Source organism: Homo sapiens, chromosome 8 (assembly GCF_000001405.40).
Source record: "Homo sapiens chromosome 8, GRCh38.p14 Primary Assembly".
NCBI classification, from domain to species: Eukaryota; Metazoa; Chordata; class Mammalia; order Primates; family Hominidae; genus Homo; species Homo sapiens.
In genome coordinates, this window is record NC_000008.11 from 143,104,281 (window position 1) to 143,120,895 (window position 16,615).

The 16,615-nt window shown below is 44.6% G+C and overlaps 2 annotated features.

The window, feature by feature from the left end:
• Positions 11,686 to 12,683: an enhancer, noted in NCBI's record as "H3K27ac-H3K4me1 hESC enhancer chr8:144197383-144198380 (GRCh37/hg19 assembly coordinates)". NCBI's record gives its function as "activates a minimal SCP1, AML or CMV promoter by ChIP-STARR-seq in primed H9 embryonic stem cells {active_cell/tissue: H9 hESC(primed)}" and the evidence as "EXISTENCE:reporter gene assay evidence [ECO:0000049][PMID:30033119]".
• Positions 12,684 to 13,681: an enhancer, noted in NCBI's record as "H3K27ac-H3K4me1 hESC enhancer chr8:144198381-144199378 (GRCh37/hg19 assembly coordinates)". NCBI's record gives its function as "activates a minimal SCP1, AML or CMV promoter by ChIP-STARR-seq in primed H9 embryonic stem cells {active_cell/tissue: H9 hESC(primed)}" and the evidence as "EXISTENCE:reporter gene assay evidence [ECO:0000049][PMID:30033119]".

Consider the following 16,615-nt stretch of genomic DNA (forward strand, 5'->3'; position numbering starts at 1 on the left):
GGGCATGAGTGCTGGGTGACACTCACTCATGGCAGGAGGCCCAGGTCCCTTGACAACCTGTACTTTATGGTATAGGTTGTCTGTTCTAAGCATGTGTTCTGAAATGGAACATTCATAGTGTTCACTGGCTTACTAGTTTCACCTCTAGGAAGTAGTGAACCTTCACTTGAGCCCAGTCGAAAGCCAGACTTTTTTTTTCTTGAAAGGAGAACAGTTATCTGCTGAAGACTATTCTGCCTCCAAAATCCAGAACGCCCTGCCTGGCACTGTGCCCCTCTCTTAGTGATGGGAGGTACCAGGACAGCAATTCTCTTTCCCTTGGGGGGAAATCGGGAGATGCTCCCAGGCGCTGGACCCCGGAGATCCCACCGAGATGGAAGACGCCTGGATTTTGTGTGCCTTATTTTCCAAGCTTCTGGCAAACATTTCTGTTCTAAGCATGGATTCTGAAATGGAATATTTGCCACATGGTGGTTCCTGGGCTTGCTATTAATAGTTCCACTATAAGCTGGAGCTGATCTCAAACATTCTTTGCCATCTGACCGGCTTACCCTCACCCCCACTCCCCGGAATGAAGGAACAGTGTCATATTAAGTCTCCAGGAATTATCGGTGTCCAGTCATCCTGAAAATCCTGAAAAATATGGTCATTTCTCCTCCTCCAACACACAGTCATCCTGGCAAGAAGACGGCTAGGAAGATTTACACCCTGAATCCGTGCATGCAACAGTGTTCTCCTTCAGTGGAACCCTGCCTATGCTTGACTTAGGGCGCTCTGGCTAAAATACGGGAATCAGGGGTGGACGGTGGGTTCTCATTTGAGTCTTTCACTTGTGACATAAGCTGCCCAGGCCAGGATCCAGGATTTTTTTTTTTTTTTTTTTTTTTGAGATGGAGTCTTGCTCTGTCGCCCAGGCTGGAGTGCAGTGGCTCAATCTCGGCTCACTACAATCTCTGCCTCCTGGGTTCAAGCATTTCTCCTGCCTCAGCCTATGAAATAGCTGGGACTACAGGTGCCTGCCATGATACCTGGCTAATTTTTGTATTTTTTGTACAGATGTGCTTCACCACGTTGGCCAGGCTGGTCTCCAACTCCTGACCTCAGGTGATCTGCCTGCCATGGCCTTCCAAAGTGCTGGGATTATAGACATGAGCCACCATGCCTGGCCAGGCCAGGATTTTGTTTTAATCATTGCTTATACAAATCAGGTTAGACTGTCTCCCACTGAATTCAGGAAGCCAAGGGAAGCAACGTTTTTGCAGTTCTGGAATATTCTTCTGTTGCACTTTTTTTTTTTTTTTTTTTTTTTTTTTTTTTTGGAGACAGAGTCTCGCTCTGTTGCCCAGGCTGGAGTGCAGTGGCATGATCTCGGCTCACTGCAACATCTGCCTCCCAGGTTCAAGTGATTCTCCTGCCTCAGCCTCCTGAGTAGCTGGGACTACAGGTGCATGCCACCATGCCTGACTAACTTTTGTATTTTCAGTAGAGACAGGATTTCCCCATGTTGGCCAGGCTGGTCTGGAACTCTTGACCTCAGGTGATCCACCTGCCTCGATCTACAGAAGTGCTGGGATTATAGGCATGAGCCACTGTGCCCGGCCGCACTTTTTATTTGTCAAAGTACAAAGGTACTGACACACAAAAAACGTTTTTTCCTTTGTCATTTTTTTTTTGTGGTAAAATGCACATAACACAGAAAACCAAACGCCAAATCTCTCTCATAAGTGGGAGTTGAACAGTGAGAACACAAGGACACAGGGAGGGGAACAACCCACACCAGGGCCTGTTGGGGGGTGGGGAGCAACAGGAGGGAACTTAGAGGATGGGTCAATAGGTGCAGCAAACCACCATGGCACATGTATACCTATGTAACCAACCAGCGAACCACCATGGCACACATGTACCTATGTAACCAACCAGCGAACCACCATGGCACACACGTACCTAAGTAACCAACCAGCGAACCACCATGGCACACGCGTACCTATGTAACCAACCAGCAAACCACCATGGCACACGCGTACCTATGTAACAAACCAGCAAACCACCACGGCACGCATGTACCTAGGTAACCAACCAGCAAACCACCATGGCACGCATGTACCTATGTAACCAACCAGCAAACGACCATGGCACATGTGTACCTATGTAACAAACCAGTAAACTACCATGGCACGCATGTACCTATGTAACCAACCAGTAAACCACCATGGCACACATATACCTATGTAACCAACCAGCAAACCACCATGGCACACGTGTACCTATGTAACCAACCAGCAAACCACCATGGCACACGCATACCTATGTAACCAACCAGCAAACCACCATGGCATATGTATACCTACGTAACAAACCAGCAAACCACCCGGCACACATGTACCTATGTAACCAACCAGCAAACCACCATGGCACATGTATACCTACGTAACAAACCAGCAAACCACCCGGCACACGTATACCTATGTAACCAACCAGCAAACCACCATGGCACACGTATACCTATGTAACCAACCAGCAAACCACCATGGCACATGTATACCTACGTAACAAACCAGCAAACCACCCGGCACACATGTACCTATGTAACAAACCAGCAAACCGCCATGGCACACGCGTTCCTATGTAACCAACAGCAAACCACCATGGCATGTGTGTACCTATGTAGCAAACCTGCACATTCTGCACTTGTATCCCTGAACTTAAAGTAAAATTATTTTTAAAAATTTACCATTTTTATCATTTTAAAGTGTACAATTCAGTGGCATTAAGTACACTTATAATGTGTGACCATGACCACCATCTTGTTCCAGAACCTTCTCATCACTCCAGATGGAAACCCCATGCCCCACTAAGCAGTCACTCCCCATTTTTTCCTCCCCCAGCCCCTAAGCAACCACTTTCTGTCTCTTGGACTTGTCTGTTCTGGACATTTCATATGAATGGAACCATACAGCATGCGGCCTTTGGTGCCAGGCTTCCGAGGTGCATCCACGCGTGTCACATATCAGATGCATCCACACGTGTCATGTATCAGGTGCATCTATCTGCACGTGTCACATATCAGGTGCATCTGCACGTGTCAGGTCCATCCACGCGTGTCACGTATCAGGTGCATCTGCACGTGTCATGTATCAAATGCTGTAAGTCCTAGTCATGAGGAAAATGAAAACCAAAACCACAATGAGATAGATACCTCTTCACACCCACTAGGATGGTCATCGTCAAAACTACAGAAAATAACAAGTGCTGGTGAGAAGATGAGGAGATTGGAACTCTCAGACCCTGCTGGTGGGAATATAAAATGCCGCAGCCACTGGAAACAGTTTCTTATAAAAGTAAACGTGCAAGTCCTGTGCAACACAGCAAGGGCACTCCTAGGTATATACCCAACGGGACTGAAAACAGGCATTCAAACAAAAACTTGTCCATGAATGTTCATAGCAGCTGATATGGTTTGGATGTTTTTTCCTCTAAATATCATGTGGAAATGATCCCCAGTGTTGGAGGGGGTGGGAAGTGACTGGATCATGGGGGTGGACCCTTCACGGATGCCTTGCTGCCACCCCTTGCTAATGAGTGCTTTCTCACAGTGAGCTCCCGGGAGATGTGGCTGTTTAAAAGTGTGCGGCGTCTCCCCCCACTATGTTCCTCCTGCTCCCATCATGGGACGCGCCATCTCTCACTTCCACCATCAATAAAAGCTCTCCGAGGCCTCCTGAGAAGCCTCCGCAAGCCAATGCCAGTGCCATGCTTACTGTCCAGCCTGCAGAACTGCGAGACAAACACAAATACCAGTCTCAGGTATTTCTTTACAGCAACAAAAGAACAGCCTAATATATGCAGCAATATTCACAAGTACCAAATGGTAGAAGCAACCCAAATATCCCTCAACAAATGACGGATAAACAGAATGTTTAAGTGTATACAGAAGAACACTATTCAGCCACTGTCTCACAGTGAACAAGTCCAAACACATCTACCTCAAAGTCCAAGGAAGCTGACAGGCCAAAGAAAGAGGCTGACAAATTCACATCTTTTTTTTTTTTTTTCTTTTGAGGCAGAGTCTTGCTCTGTCGCCCAGGCTGGAGTGCAGTGGCGCCATCTCGGCTCACTGCAAGCTCCGCTTCCCGGGTTCACGCCATTCTCCTGCCTCAGCCTCCCGAGTAGCTGGAACTACAGGCGCCCGCCACCACGCCCGGCTAATTTTTTGTATTTTTAGTAGAGACGGGGTTTCACCGGGTTAGCCAGGATGGTCTCGATCTCCTGACCTCGTGAAATGCCCACCTCGGTCTCCCAAAGTGCTGAGATTACAGGCGTGAGCCACCGCGCCTGGCCCACAAATTCAGTTCTTAAAAAGAAACATTTAATAGGGACTTAGAAACAGAAGCCATGTCAGTCTCAGGCTACGGTGAGTCAAGATGGCGGCTCCCTGCGCCGTCACCACCCAGGCCCAGGGCTTCTATTGCCATAGTGCAGGGGACATGCCTCAGAGGGGGTGGGCAGGAATTTCCCTAAGGCCAGGACTTGTGATAAGGATGTGCTCTTACACAAGGAACAACAGATGAACGGGAACTCTCAGAGGCATTCCCGGAACTGAGGTTAATCAGAAGCCAACACGACAAACTAGCGTCCAAGATGGAGCGGCTTCGGCCTCCATGATCCGCCCGCGCCGCCCCACTAATCCAGCTCTGACCGTCTCACCTGCCCTCCTCTTCCGCGATGGTCCCTGAGCCTTAGGGAGGGTGCTTGGGGTTGTCTGGCTTCAGCAGCGGTGCCTTGGCGTCGGAAAACAGGTCGGGCCCGGTGAGAGTCCCAGTGAGGGAGGGTCACCGGCTGTTGAATCATCTCTAGTCTTCAGGATACCACGACTTCTGTTTTCTCAGAGAAAATAAAACAACAAGAGATACATAACATTAATAATTTGCACACAAGGATGACAATCAAAAGGGAATTTGTATTTCAGAACAGTAACAAAAAAGAACCTATTTCATTAAGAAGCCGACTAAAAGCATCGTGAAGGAAACTAAAACCCGGTTTTTCTTTAGAGACTTGTAGCCAGTGAATGATTCAGGATTAGCCCAAATTGTAAGCAAATAATAACTCAAAAACAACGGTCAGAGCTAGGATCTAAATTTTTCTCTCTCTAGTTTCCCCATTTCTACCAAGGATAAATCATAGTAGGACCAGTTTATTTGCAAAATAAATTTCGGTCTCATTATACTTGGCCTATTTGCATGAAGCGTGGCAAGAATAGTTACCAGCCCTAGAGGCTTTTTTTTTTTTTTTTTTTCCCTGTGACAGGGGCTTGCTCTGTCAGCCATGCTGGAGTACAATGGTGCAATCAGAGCTCACTGCAGCCTCAGCCTCTCAGGCTCAAACACTCCTCCTGCCTCAGCCTCCCGAGTAGCTGGGACCCTTGGCACACCCCACCACACCCAGCTCATTTTTTATGTTTTGTAGAGACAGGGTCTCAGCATGTTGCCTAAGCTGGTCGGCTCTTTTTAAGTTGGCTTTGCTGGAACTTTTTTAGGGAATTTTGGACTCAACTTATTAAAAGCCTCAAGGGTAGGAAGCCAAGCGAAGGATTCACTGAATGAAATTGAAGTATTTTACCGCAAATTGTGTTTCTTTGCCATGTCTTGAAATAGCCTTGCAAAGCTTTCTCTTGTGGGGAAAAGCTGCATTCTGAAGAGAATCCTTTTCCTTTTTCAGGACTTTTCCCTGATTCAAGAGAGAATCAACTCTGGTAAGAAACATTTACAATCTGTTCTCTCTGAAGCTACCTGGAGGCTTTCTCTGTGTAATAGGAACTTGGTCACCACAATCCCTCATTAACCCAGACATTCCTTCTTTTGATTCCAGGTCTTTAGATAGTAACTCCTTCAACCAATTGCCAATCAGTAAATCTTTGAATCTACCTATGACCTGGAAGTCCCTGTTTCAAGTTGTCCCACCTTTCCTGATCGAACAAATGTATGTCTTCCCTGTATTGATTGGTGTCTCATGGCTCCCTAAAATTTATAAAACCAAGTTGTGGCCCAAACACCTTGGGCACTTGTTCTCACGGTCTCCTGAGGCCGTGTCATGGGCCACAGTCTCTCATATTTGGCTCAGAATAAATCTCTTCCAATATTTTACAGTTTGACTCTTTTCGTTGATTTTTTCATGCCTTTACTTTTGCAGTAGTAGGTAGGGGTTTCCCCAGTCCACGTACAATATCCATTTTCCATTTTCCTTTTTTTTTTTTTTCCTGAGTCTCTATTGCCCAGGCTGGAGTGCAATGGCACAATCTCGGCTCACTGCAGCCTCTGCCTCTTGGGTTCAAGCAATTCTCCTGCCTCAGCCTCCCCAATAGCTGGGACTACAGGTGCATGCCACCATGCCCGGCTAATTTTTGTATTTTTAGTATAGATGGGGTTTCATCATGTTGGTCAGGGTGGTCTTGAACTCCTAACCCCAAGTGATCCGCCCACCTCGGCCTCCCAAAGTGCTAGGATTACAGGTGTGAACCACTGTACCAGCTTCAATATCCATTTTCATAAAGCATTTAGGTAAAGGATATGTAATGCCTTACATAAAGCCTGTTTAAACATCTCGGCTTTCATAACTCTATCACACAAGTCGACTTTCATAACTCGACGTCTTTCTGTTCTGCTCCCAGGAACTTCTTTTTCCCACCTCCAGACCATTTTACCCTCTCTTGTGAAAAAGGATGTGGGTGCCCCACAGGGGCTTGATCCAAGGGACCCTGGCCCTTCTGTCAATCTTATCTTGATTAACCCACCTCAACATTGGCCCCCGCAATTGTTGGTCAGTTTGCTCAGTGTAACTTTTGCCTTCCAATTTTTATAGTTAGAGTGCCTTCTCCAATCTGGCAAAAACTGTTTTGGAGCTCTTTACTGTTGAGGGACCAGCGGGGGCTCCCTTTGTTCACCCAACTTTCGATAGTGTTGTATTAAGACCTTTGTGAATAACCCCCCATTATTCATTCCATTGCTTAACAACCATGTACAGATTCCACCCCGCTAGGATGCACCCCATGACTCTCTCCTTTCCTTTTTCCTCTTGGTTTCACCCCATCCACTTTTTACCTTTTTTTTGAGATGGAGTCTTACTCTGCCACCCAGGCTGGAGTGCAGTGGCAGTCTTGACTCACTGCAATTCTCCTCCCTCAGTCTCCTGAGTAGCTGGGATTACAGGTGCGCGCCACCACACCTGGCTAATTTTTGTATTTTTAGTAGAGATGAGGTTTCGCCATGTTGGCCAGGCCAGTCTCGAACTCCTGATCTCAGGTGGTCTGCCCACCTCTGCCCCTCAAAGTGCTGAGATTACAGGCGTGAGCCACCAGGCCTGGCCCATTTTTTACCTATTTAAAACTAATCGTTTAAAAATTTTCCCCTTCCTAGGATGAGTCCTTGGACTCCCTTTTGCCTTTCCCAATAATTTTATTAATTAGCCTAAAGTTTTTATAAGCATCTGGATGACCCATGAGGGGAAGTTGAGACCCAATGAGGTGCCCAGGCCAATGGGCCCCCTTAACCACAGCATTTACCATGATCTGGGCATACTCAGCCGTGAATATCCCGGTCATCATAAAGTCAGTCCCACATGGCTTGCTTACGAAGCACATCAGCTGCTTCATCGGGGGTGCTCCACTTGGCGTTTATGGGGAAAGTTGGGTGGTCCCCTTCTCTTACAGTGCCTTTTATCCAGCCCACCAGGCTGGCCGTTCCCTCAGGAATAATCTGTGCGTCTGGATCACACACACTCATCTGCCATTGTTCAGCAGTGAGCTGTGGGTCTCACATCAGCCCACACGTGCTCTTCCATTCTGCTGCACTTGTGACCAGCAGAAGGGTGAGGCTGCTCACCACTTGTAGAAAGAAGCCAAAATAATAATGAGGTGTGATAGAAAGAGAGTGAGACTTTATTATCCGTACCAGCAAAGGGATGAGCACAAAGCAATTCCACTCTTCCATTTGTGGAGGGAACGCAGGGGATTTTAAAGAGAGGGTTTGGAATGCAGAAGAGGCAGGTGATGAGGAGGTGTCGGGTGGCAGGAACCAGTCCCATGGCTCATCTCGAATTATTGTTCCATCTGGTGAAGGGGCCAGGGCCATCGTGGCTGGAAGTGTCTGGTCCATAGCAGGATCCGGCCCCTGAAACTTCTAAGGAAATACATCACCAGAGAAGTGAGCATGGTGTGAGCTTAACAAGCATCCAGGTAAATAAGTGTGTGTAAGGTGTGACAGCATGGAATAGAAAAAGAAGGGGAGGGGAGGCCACAGCACATTCCCAGGCTATGTTTCAAGATGAAAGGAAACCCGTATGCAGCTTGACTCAAAGTTATATCTTGAGATTGGGAAGAAAGGAGAAAAAACAAAGTTTTAAAACATGGTTTGAAGCCAAGCTGCTCAGTTACACATTTAAAACCAAAAACACTGTTCCCAAATTAGTCATTCTCATAATTTATTTTGGTAGAAGTTCCTCAGGAAGCGAATCTACAAAACGAAGCAATTGCCCCACATCACGTCCTCTGGCTTCAGTGCTACTTGATTTTGCCCTTACTACCATCTTGGTAACCACAGGTCTCAGGGTGCTTTCTTTCATCCCTGGCATCATTTCCCCTTTGTGGGTAGTTTTGAGGCTAATGGCCTGAGCTCAGACAGACCCACAACTGAGCATGGTCCAGGCCCAACCCAGCACTCTCTTACACTTTCATTTTAGCTACTGCAGATAGCAGTAACCAAGGGATTGAATGTTTTGCTTTTTGCTTATTAGTCTGCATCTTCTTATGCATCCACTGAACCAACTCCCCAAGGGTTTGTGCCATCTCTAATTCTACCAGTAGCTTTCCCCTTTAGCAGCTGAGGATGGCACAGCTGCAGCTCCAGACCAGGGATGACGTGTGGCCGCTAAGGAATCAAGGGCTTCTTGTTGCCCAGCCCTTTATTCTTCCTCTTTCTATCCATTTACTCTCATCCATGTCATCTTTCCTTGATTCCAAAACAACCTGTAAATAGCTTCCAAACTAGACAAGAGTACTTTTCCTTTAAGCAGAAACCATATCTTTATGATTTTTATAACCTTTGCTAAAAACACATCTTACATTATGGCCGGGCGCAGTGGCTCACGCCTACAATCCCAGCACTTTGGGAGGCGAGACGGGCACATAACTCAAGGTCAAGAGTTTGAGACCAGCCTGGCCAACGTGGTGAAACCCATCTCTACTAAAATATAAAAATTAGCCGGGTGTGGTGGCGGGCGACTGTAATCCCAGCTACTCAGGAGGCTGAGGCAGGAGAATCACTTGAACCCGGGAGACAGAGGTTGCAGTGAGCCAAGATCGTGCCATTGCACTCCAGCCTGGGGGAGAGAACGAGACTCAGTCTCAAAAAAAAAAAAGAAAAGGAAAAAAGAAAAACCCACATCTTACTTTTCATACACTCTGTATGTAGAATAGTTTTGCCTATATCTAGCAGTTTTAATTACATATATAAACTATTACTGTAACTTAGTAACCCCTTATTTCTAGAAAATCCTAGTCTTAATTTAGCATGACTTTTAGATTTTATAAAGAGAATTTTGAAACTAGTTTTACTTACCAAAGATTACCAAAGTCACATGAACTAAAAGGCATTTGAGCTAGCTTCTATTATCCTGATAAGATATTTAAGTGTTTAAATTTCCTTTAAGCCCATTAGAGTTCTTTCATACAATCTGGTAGTGACCGGTCACATACGCATGACCCATGTAAACATATATGAGATAGAATAGGAGCGGGACGTGGCTCCTCCTTCACGATCTCACCATGCCTTCTACCTAACCCTGTTCCCATTGAGAAAAAAGAAGGTGCCAGCGCTCATTTAATTTTACATAAACACGCTCTTTGAGGGTGAAGCAAATCTGACTGCTTTTCAATGTGAAAATAAAATATAAAAACTGTTGTTGGAGTTATTTCTAAACAGAACATCAGAGTCATCTGAAGCATCAGAATCATCTATTTCTGAAAAATCAGATTCATCAAATGATCTTCAGCCAACAACTGTTCGAAAACGGTGCTCATGTCACAGAAACGCTACATTTTCTAAGATTTGACATTTTCAGTGGTTGCTAATTACTATATGTTGTAACTGGAAATGCCACTACTGCAAACAGAATGTATAAATAGAATAATGTCTTTTGTTGCCAAAGTCAATCTACTAGAGCAATGCAAAAATAGTTATAAAAGTGAGATATTTCGTGGCAAAGTTTTCTCGAAGTAAATGCTGCAGCCACAAGTGCCACCGGCAAGTATTCTTGGGGCAAACAGGAAATGGGTTAAAGAAGTTCAGGATCCGGCCTTAGGAAATCCAAATATCACACCGAGGTTGCGGTCTGATCTCATTTATTCAGCCTGAATAGATTTCTTTAGCATTTCTCATAGCGCGTATGTGCTGATAATAAATTCTTGTGGTTTTATTTTATTTAAAAATGTATTTACTGCCGGGCTCAGTGGCTCACACCTGTAATCCCAGCACTTTGGGAGGCCAAGGCAGGTGGATCACCTGAGGTCAGAAGTTCAAGACCAGCCTGGCCAACATGGTGAAACCTCGTTTCTACTAAAAATACAAAAATTAGCCGAGTGTGGTGGCGGGTGCCTGTAATCCCAGCTACTCTGGAGGCTGAGGCAGGAGAATCGCTAGAACCATTAGGAGGCGGAGCTTGCAGGGAGCCGAGATCTCACCACTGCACTCCAGCCTGGGTGACAGAGCGAGACTCCGTCTCAAACAAACAAACAAACAATAGTATTTACTTCACCTTCCTTCTTGAATAATATTTTCACTGGATATAGAATACTGGGTAGATCCTTATTTTTCCTTCAGCACTTTAGAGACATTGTTCCACTGTCTTCTGGCCCCATTCATTTCTTTCTTTTTTTTCTTTTTTCTTTTTTTTTTTAGACAGAGTTTCACTCTTGTTGCCCAGGCTGGAGTGCAATGGCGCAATCTCAGCTCACCGCAACCTCTGCCTCCCGGGTTCAAGCGATTCTCCTGCTTCAGCCTCCCGAGTAGCTGGGATTACAGGCATGCGCCACCACGCCCAGCTAATTTTGTATTTTTGGTAGAGACAGGGTTTCTCCATGTTGGTTAGGCTGGTCTCAAACTCCCGACCTCAGGTGATCTGCCAGCCTCAGCCTCCCAAAGTGCTGGGATTACAGGCGTGAGCCACCGCGCCCGGGTGGCCCCCATCATTTCTGATGAGAAGTCAGCTCATGTTGGGGTTGATGTTCTAATACTTCGTGGGAATGTGTGTTTTCCTCCAACTGCTTTCAAAATGTGTCTTTGGCCGCCAGCAGTTTGACTATGGTGTGCCTAAATGTAGTGTTCTTTGTATTTATACTCTATGGGGTTTGTTGAGTTTCTTAAATCTGTAATTTTATGCCTTTCATGAAATACGGAGGTTTTTTGGCAATTGTTTCTTTAGATAATTTTTTTCTGCGCAATTTTTTCTCTCCTCTTCAGGAGCTCCTATTACATTTATCTTAGGCCTTTTAATATTGTGCCACGACACTCTGACGCTCTGTACATATTTTCCTTTTCCTCTGTATTCTTCAAATTGGTTAATTTCTATTAATTTACCTTCAAGCTCCTCTTTCTTCTGTCACCCTCAATCTTCTTTTAAGTCCAACTGGCAAATTTTTACCTCAAATATTTTAACTTTTTGGTCTAGAATTTCCACTTGATTCTTCTTATAGTTTCTATTTCTCTGTTGAGATTTTCTATCTTTTCATTCATTAAAAGCTTATTTTCCTTTACATCCTTGAACATAGATATAATTTCTGCTTAAAGCCTCGATGTGATCATTACAATATCTGAGTTATCTCAGAGATTGTCTCCATTCATTATCTTTTCTCTCATGTATGGGTCATAGTTTACTGTTTCTTCTGTGTCAAGAAATTTTATTTTTTTGAAACAGAGTCTCGCCCTGTCGCCCAGGCTGGAGTGCAGTGGCATGAGCTCAGCTCACTGCAACCTCTACCTCCCAGGTTCAAGTAACTCTCCTGCTTCAGCCTCCCAGGTAGCTGGGATTACAGGTGCAAGCCACCACGCCTGGCTAATTTTTTTGTTTGTTTGTTTTGTTGTTGTTGTTTTTAATAGAGACGGGGTTTCACCATGTTGGCCAGGCAGGTCTGGAAGTCCTGACCTCAGGTGATCCACCCGCCTCGGCATCCCAAAGTGCTGGGATTACAGGTGTGAGCCACCGCGCCCGGCCAGGTAATTTTAAATCGCTTCTGGACATTGACCGTGATGTGCATGGAAACTCTGCACTCATTATGTTCCTCTGAAGGACATTCTTTTTTTTTTTTTTTTTTTGAGACAGAGTTTTGCTCTTATTGCCCAGGCTGGAGTGCAGTGGAGCCATCTCAGCTCACTGCAACCTCCGCCTCCTGGCTTCAATCGATTCTCCTGCCTCAGCCTCCTGAGTAGCTGAGATTACAGGCATGTGCCACCACGCCCGGCTAATTTTTGGTATTTTTAGTAGAGACGGGGTTTCTCCATGTTGATCAGGCTGTCATCGAACTCTCAACCTCAGATCCGCCTGCCTCAGCCTCCCAAAGTGCTGGGATTACAGGGGTGAGCCACCACGCCCGGCTGGGCATTCCTTTTTTAATCAGGCTTTTCAACTTGGCTGAACTCAGCCTGTACACTCTGTCATCCAAGCGTGGATGGTAGCTGAAATTTCAGCTCAGTTCTACTTGGTTCAGTTCACCCTTAGCTGGGCTACTTGGAGTCCACCCTTGCTGAATACTGTGCAGAGAGTAAGTGAAAAGCAGGTTCGTTGCTCACCGCATGCAGAGTCCAATTAACCAAAGCAAGTTCTGGTACCAGGGAAGCAAGCTTACGCTGAAGCTAGCTCAGGGGAAGGGGCACACAGCATCCTGCCTTTAAATGTGCCGCTTCCCCTTTGGAGCCGAATGTAGGCATTTTTATAAGGTAGGGAGGAAATGAGCAAGGGCAGGGGTACCCCTGCTACTGGGAAGTTGGTATCTACCAGGCAGTTGTTATCTAGAGTCAGAGCCTTCCTGGGCAGAGTGGGTTACAAAAGTGGCCAAGTGGGCATGTTTTCGACATGCCCTCTTAGTGGGTGTGAGTTCCAGTTTCAAGGCAACCTCTGGAGGTGAGAGTTCCGTCTTGGAACACGCAGGTAGATGAACTTGCTCTGTAGGGAATATCTGGTTATGTTTGCCTTTCTAAAGGGCTAAGTAGGAAACAGGGAGCCAGGGAGGAGAAGAACAGGAAAAACAACTTCTAAAAGTTTAACTATCTCTTAGAAATATGGGGGTACTAGGATCCAAGAGGTTAGCCAGAAATAGGAGGACATTGTGTGCATAGAATGTTGGCTCTCCTTCTCCCTCTCTGTCTCTGTCTTGGATTTTCTCCCTCACTTTCCAGCTGCTGCTGTTGCCCTGAACTCTGTTGTCTGGTTCTTCAAGTCAATCAGGCTGTGGGTTTTCTACCTGAGTTTTAGCCTCTCCACGTGGTGCAGACTGGAATCCATCCTCAGGCTAAAATCCATGACAACAGGAACCCACCCCCCACCCCGGGGGGTTCTCCTGTCCCAGGTGTTGACTATCCCCCAGGCCTGGACGGCTTCTGTCACACTCCAGTGACTACCCTCAGGTAGTTGTTAATCTTTTGTCTGGAATTTAGAGTTGTTATCTAAGGGAAGGTTGGTATAATAGGAGCTTTTCAGCCATGATCAGATGTAAGTTCCAGTAAATATAGCTCAAAGTTCTAAGATTCTAGAAGTACTAGAAATACGAAAAAAGTAATTGCATATACTTCCAATAAGTCAAATTTTATGCTGTAATTTCTAAGGCAACTAGTTAAAAGTAAAAGCCATGTGACTGAGTAACAGAAAAAGTGGAATAAAAATATTTGATTAATCTAAAAAATGAAAGATGAGAAAAGAAACATAAAACAGATGAAATACCAAAAAAAAAAAACAAAGGTAGATATTACCCTACTATCAGTAATTTTACTAAGTCTAAACAAATTAAGTACTGGAAGCAGAAGAATAAGATTTTCAAAGCTGCTTATGAGAAAACGTAAGAACTCAAGAAAGAGCAAGAGTAAAATCACAGAGAAAAGCAAACCCTGTAAACCAAGAAAAAACTAGCGTGGCTCCACTCACACCACACACAGTACATTCTTATCACAAAGAGAACTGCTGCAATCTCTATTTTTTTCTAGCTAATAAATATTCTCTAGTTATAATAAAGGATACTTTAGGCCGGGCGCGGTGGCTCACGCCTGTAATCCCAGCAGTTTGGGAGGCCGAGGCGGGTGGATCACGAGATCAGGAGATCGAGACCATCCTGGCTAACAGGGTGAAACCCTGTCTCTACTAAAAATACAAAAAATTAGCCGGGCGTGGTGGCAGGTGCCTATAATCCCAGCTACTCGGGAGGCTGAGGCAGGAGAATGGCGTGAACCCAGGAGGCGGAGCTTGCAGTGAGCCGAGATCGTGCCCCTGCAGTCCGGCCTGGGCAAAAAAGCGAGACTCCGTCTCAAAAAAAAAAAAAATTAATAATAATAATAGAGCCTTTAAAAATGTATATATATTTAAAAATATGTAATTATATGTGTGTGTGTGTGTGTGTGTGTGTGTGTATATATATATATACATATATTTTTTTTTTTTTAAGATGGAGTCTCACTCTGTTGCCCAGGCTGGAGTGCAATACTGTGATCTTGGCTCACTGCAACCTCTGCTTCTCAGGTTCAAGCGATTCTCCTGGCTCAGCCTCCAGAGTAGCTGAGATTACAGACGCCCGCCACCACGCCTGGCTAATTTTTGTATTTTTTAGTAGAGATGGGGTTTCACCATGTTGGCCAGGCTGGTCTCAAACTCCTGACCTTAAGTGATCCACCCACCTCGGCCTCCCAAAGTGCTGGGATTACAGATGTGAGCCACCACACCCAGCCTAAAAATTATATATTTTAATGATTTTTCTCTAGTATGTGAAATACAAATGACTTCTATAATTTACTCTTCTCTACTGTTACTTCTAATAATGTCTCTGTAGTTTTATCTTTTCAATATAGATGATCCCCTAATCCAGGAGTTAGCAAACTTTTTCTGCAAAAGTTTTCCACTTTCCCAGCCATATGCTTGCTGTTGCAAGAACTCAGCTCTGTCCTGGTAACATGAAAGCAGCCAGAGACAAGATGGAAACAAATAGGTGTAGTCAGATTTCACCCATGATGGGTCAGATTTTGCCTACAGCGGGCAGTTTGCCAACCCCTTCTATAACCGACAAATAATAACATTTTAATTTCCTCCTTTCCAATCTTCGTGCCTTTATTTTTCTTACTTTATTATACTGTCTTATTCTATTGTTGAATGGAAATGGTAAACATAAATATCTAATGTGTTGGGGTGGGGGGATGGGGGAGGGATAGCATTAGGAAATATACCTAATGCTAAATGACGAGTTAATGGGTGCAGCACACCAACATGGCACATGTATACATATGTAACAAATCTGCACATTGTACACATGTACCCTAAAACTTAAAGTATAATAAAATAAAATAAAATAAAAAAAGAAAGGCTGCACATGCCCTCAGCTTAAAAAAAAAAAAATCTAATGTGTCATTCCTATTGCAAGAGGGAATGCTTCCACTCTGTCCCTGTCTATAATTGGTGGTAAGTTTTACACAGCTAGCCTTTATTAAGTTAAGGTAAAGTCCTTTCAGTCCTAATGTATACGAAGTTTTTCATAAATGTGTGTTAAGTTTTTTTTCAAAAGGGGTTTCATTGAATTGAACTGGTGACTTTTCTCATTTAATCTGCTTCCAAGGTGATATTCATTTATAGATTTCAAGCCTTCCTTGCATTCCTGGGTTAAGCCTGCTTTGGTCATCTTGTGTTATCTTTTCATACATTATTTATTTGGTTTGCTAAAATTTTGTTGGTAATCTTGCTGTTAAACATATTTTTGAGTGAACGGGCCAGTCATGTTTCCTGTGATGACTTTGCCTGCTGTTCATATCACTGTTGTACTGGCCTCTTGGAGGAGCTGGGGCATCCCCTCTTCCTATTCTTGGGAAAATGTGTGAGGTCAGAATGATAGGAAAGGCTACTAAAACCCAACTGTACAATCACCTGGGCCTGATATCTTCCTTTTAGGGAGACCTTTAACAACTGCCTCATTATATCTCATAGTCTTAAAGCTATTTATGTTATCTAATTAAGGCCATTTTTCAAGTTACTCTTTTCTATGAATTTTCCACTTCACCGAATTTTTCAGCTTGCTTGCCATAACATGTATGCTTTATGTCCTGATACGTTCTTCTGTTACGTTACCTGTGAGTGCCTTGCCTCCATTTCTACTTTTACTTTATTATCTCTTTCCTTGCATTTAATCTCTTACTCAGGTTCTAAATTAAAGTTGGACACTTTCAGCTTCTCTTCTTTTCTACTGTAAGTAATTAGGCATAAAAATCACCATCCACGGGCCTCCCAGTGTTTTTGGTGCGTGTTTTCATTGTTGTTCAGTTAGAGAGAGTGTGACATTTCCACCGATCCTTAGGCAGCTCAGGCTGCTATGACAAAAAATACC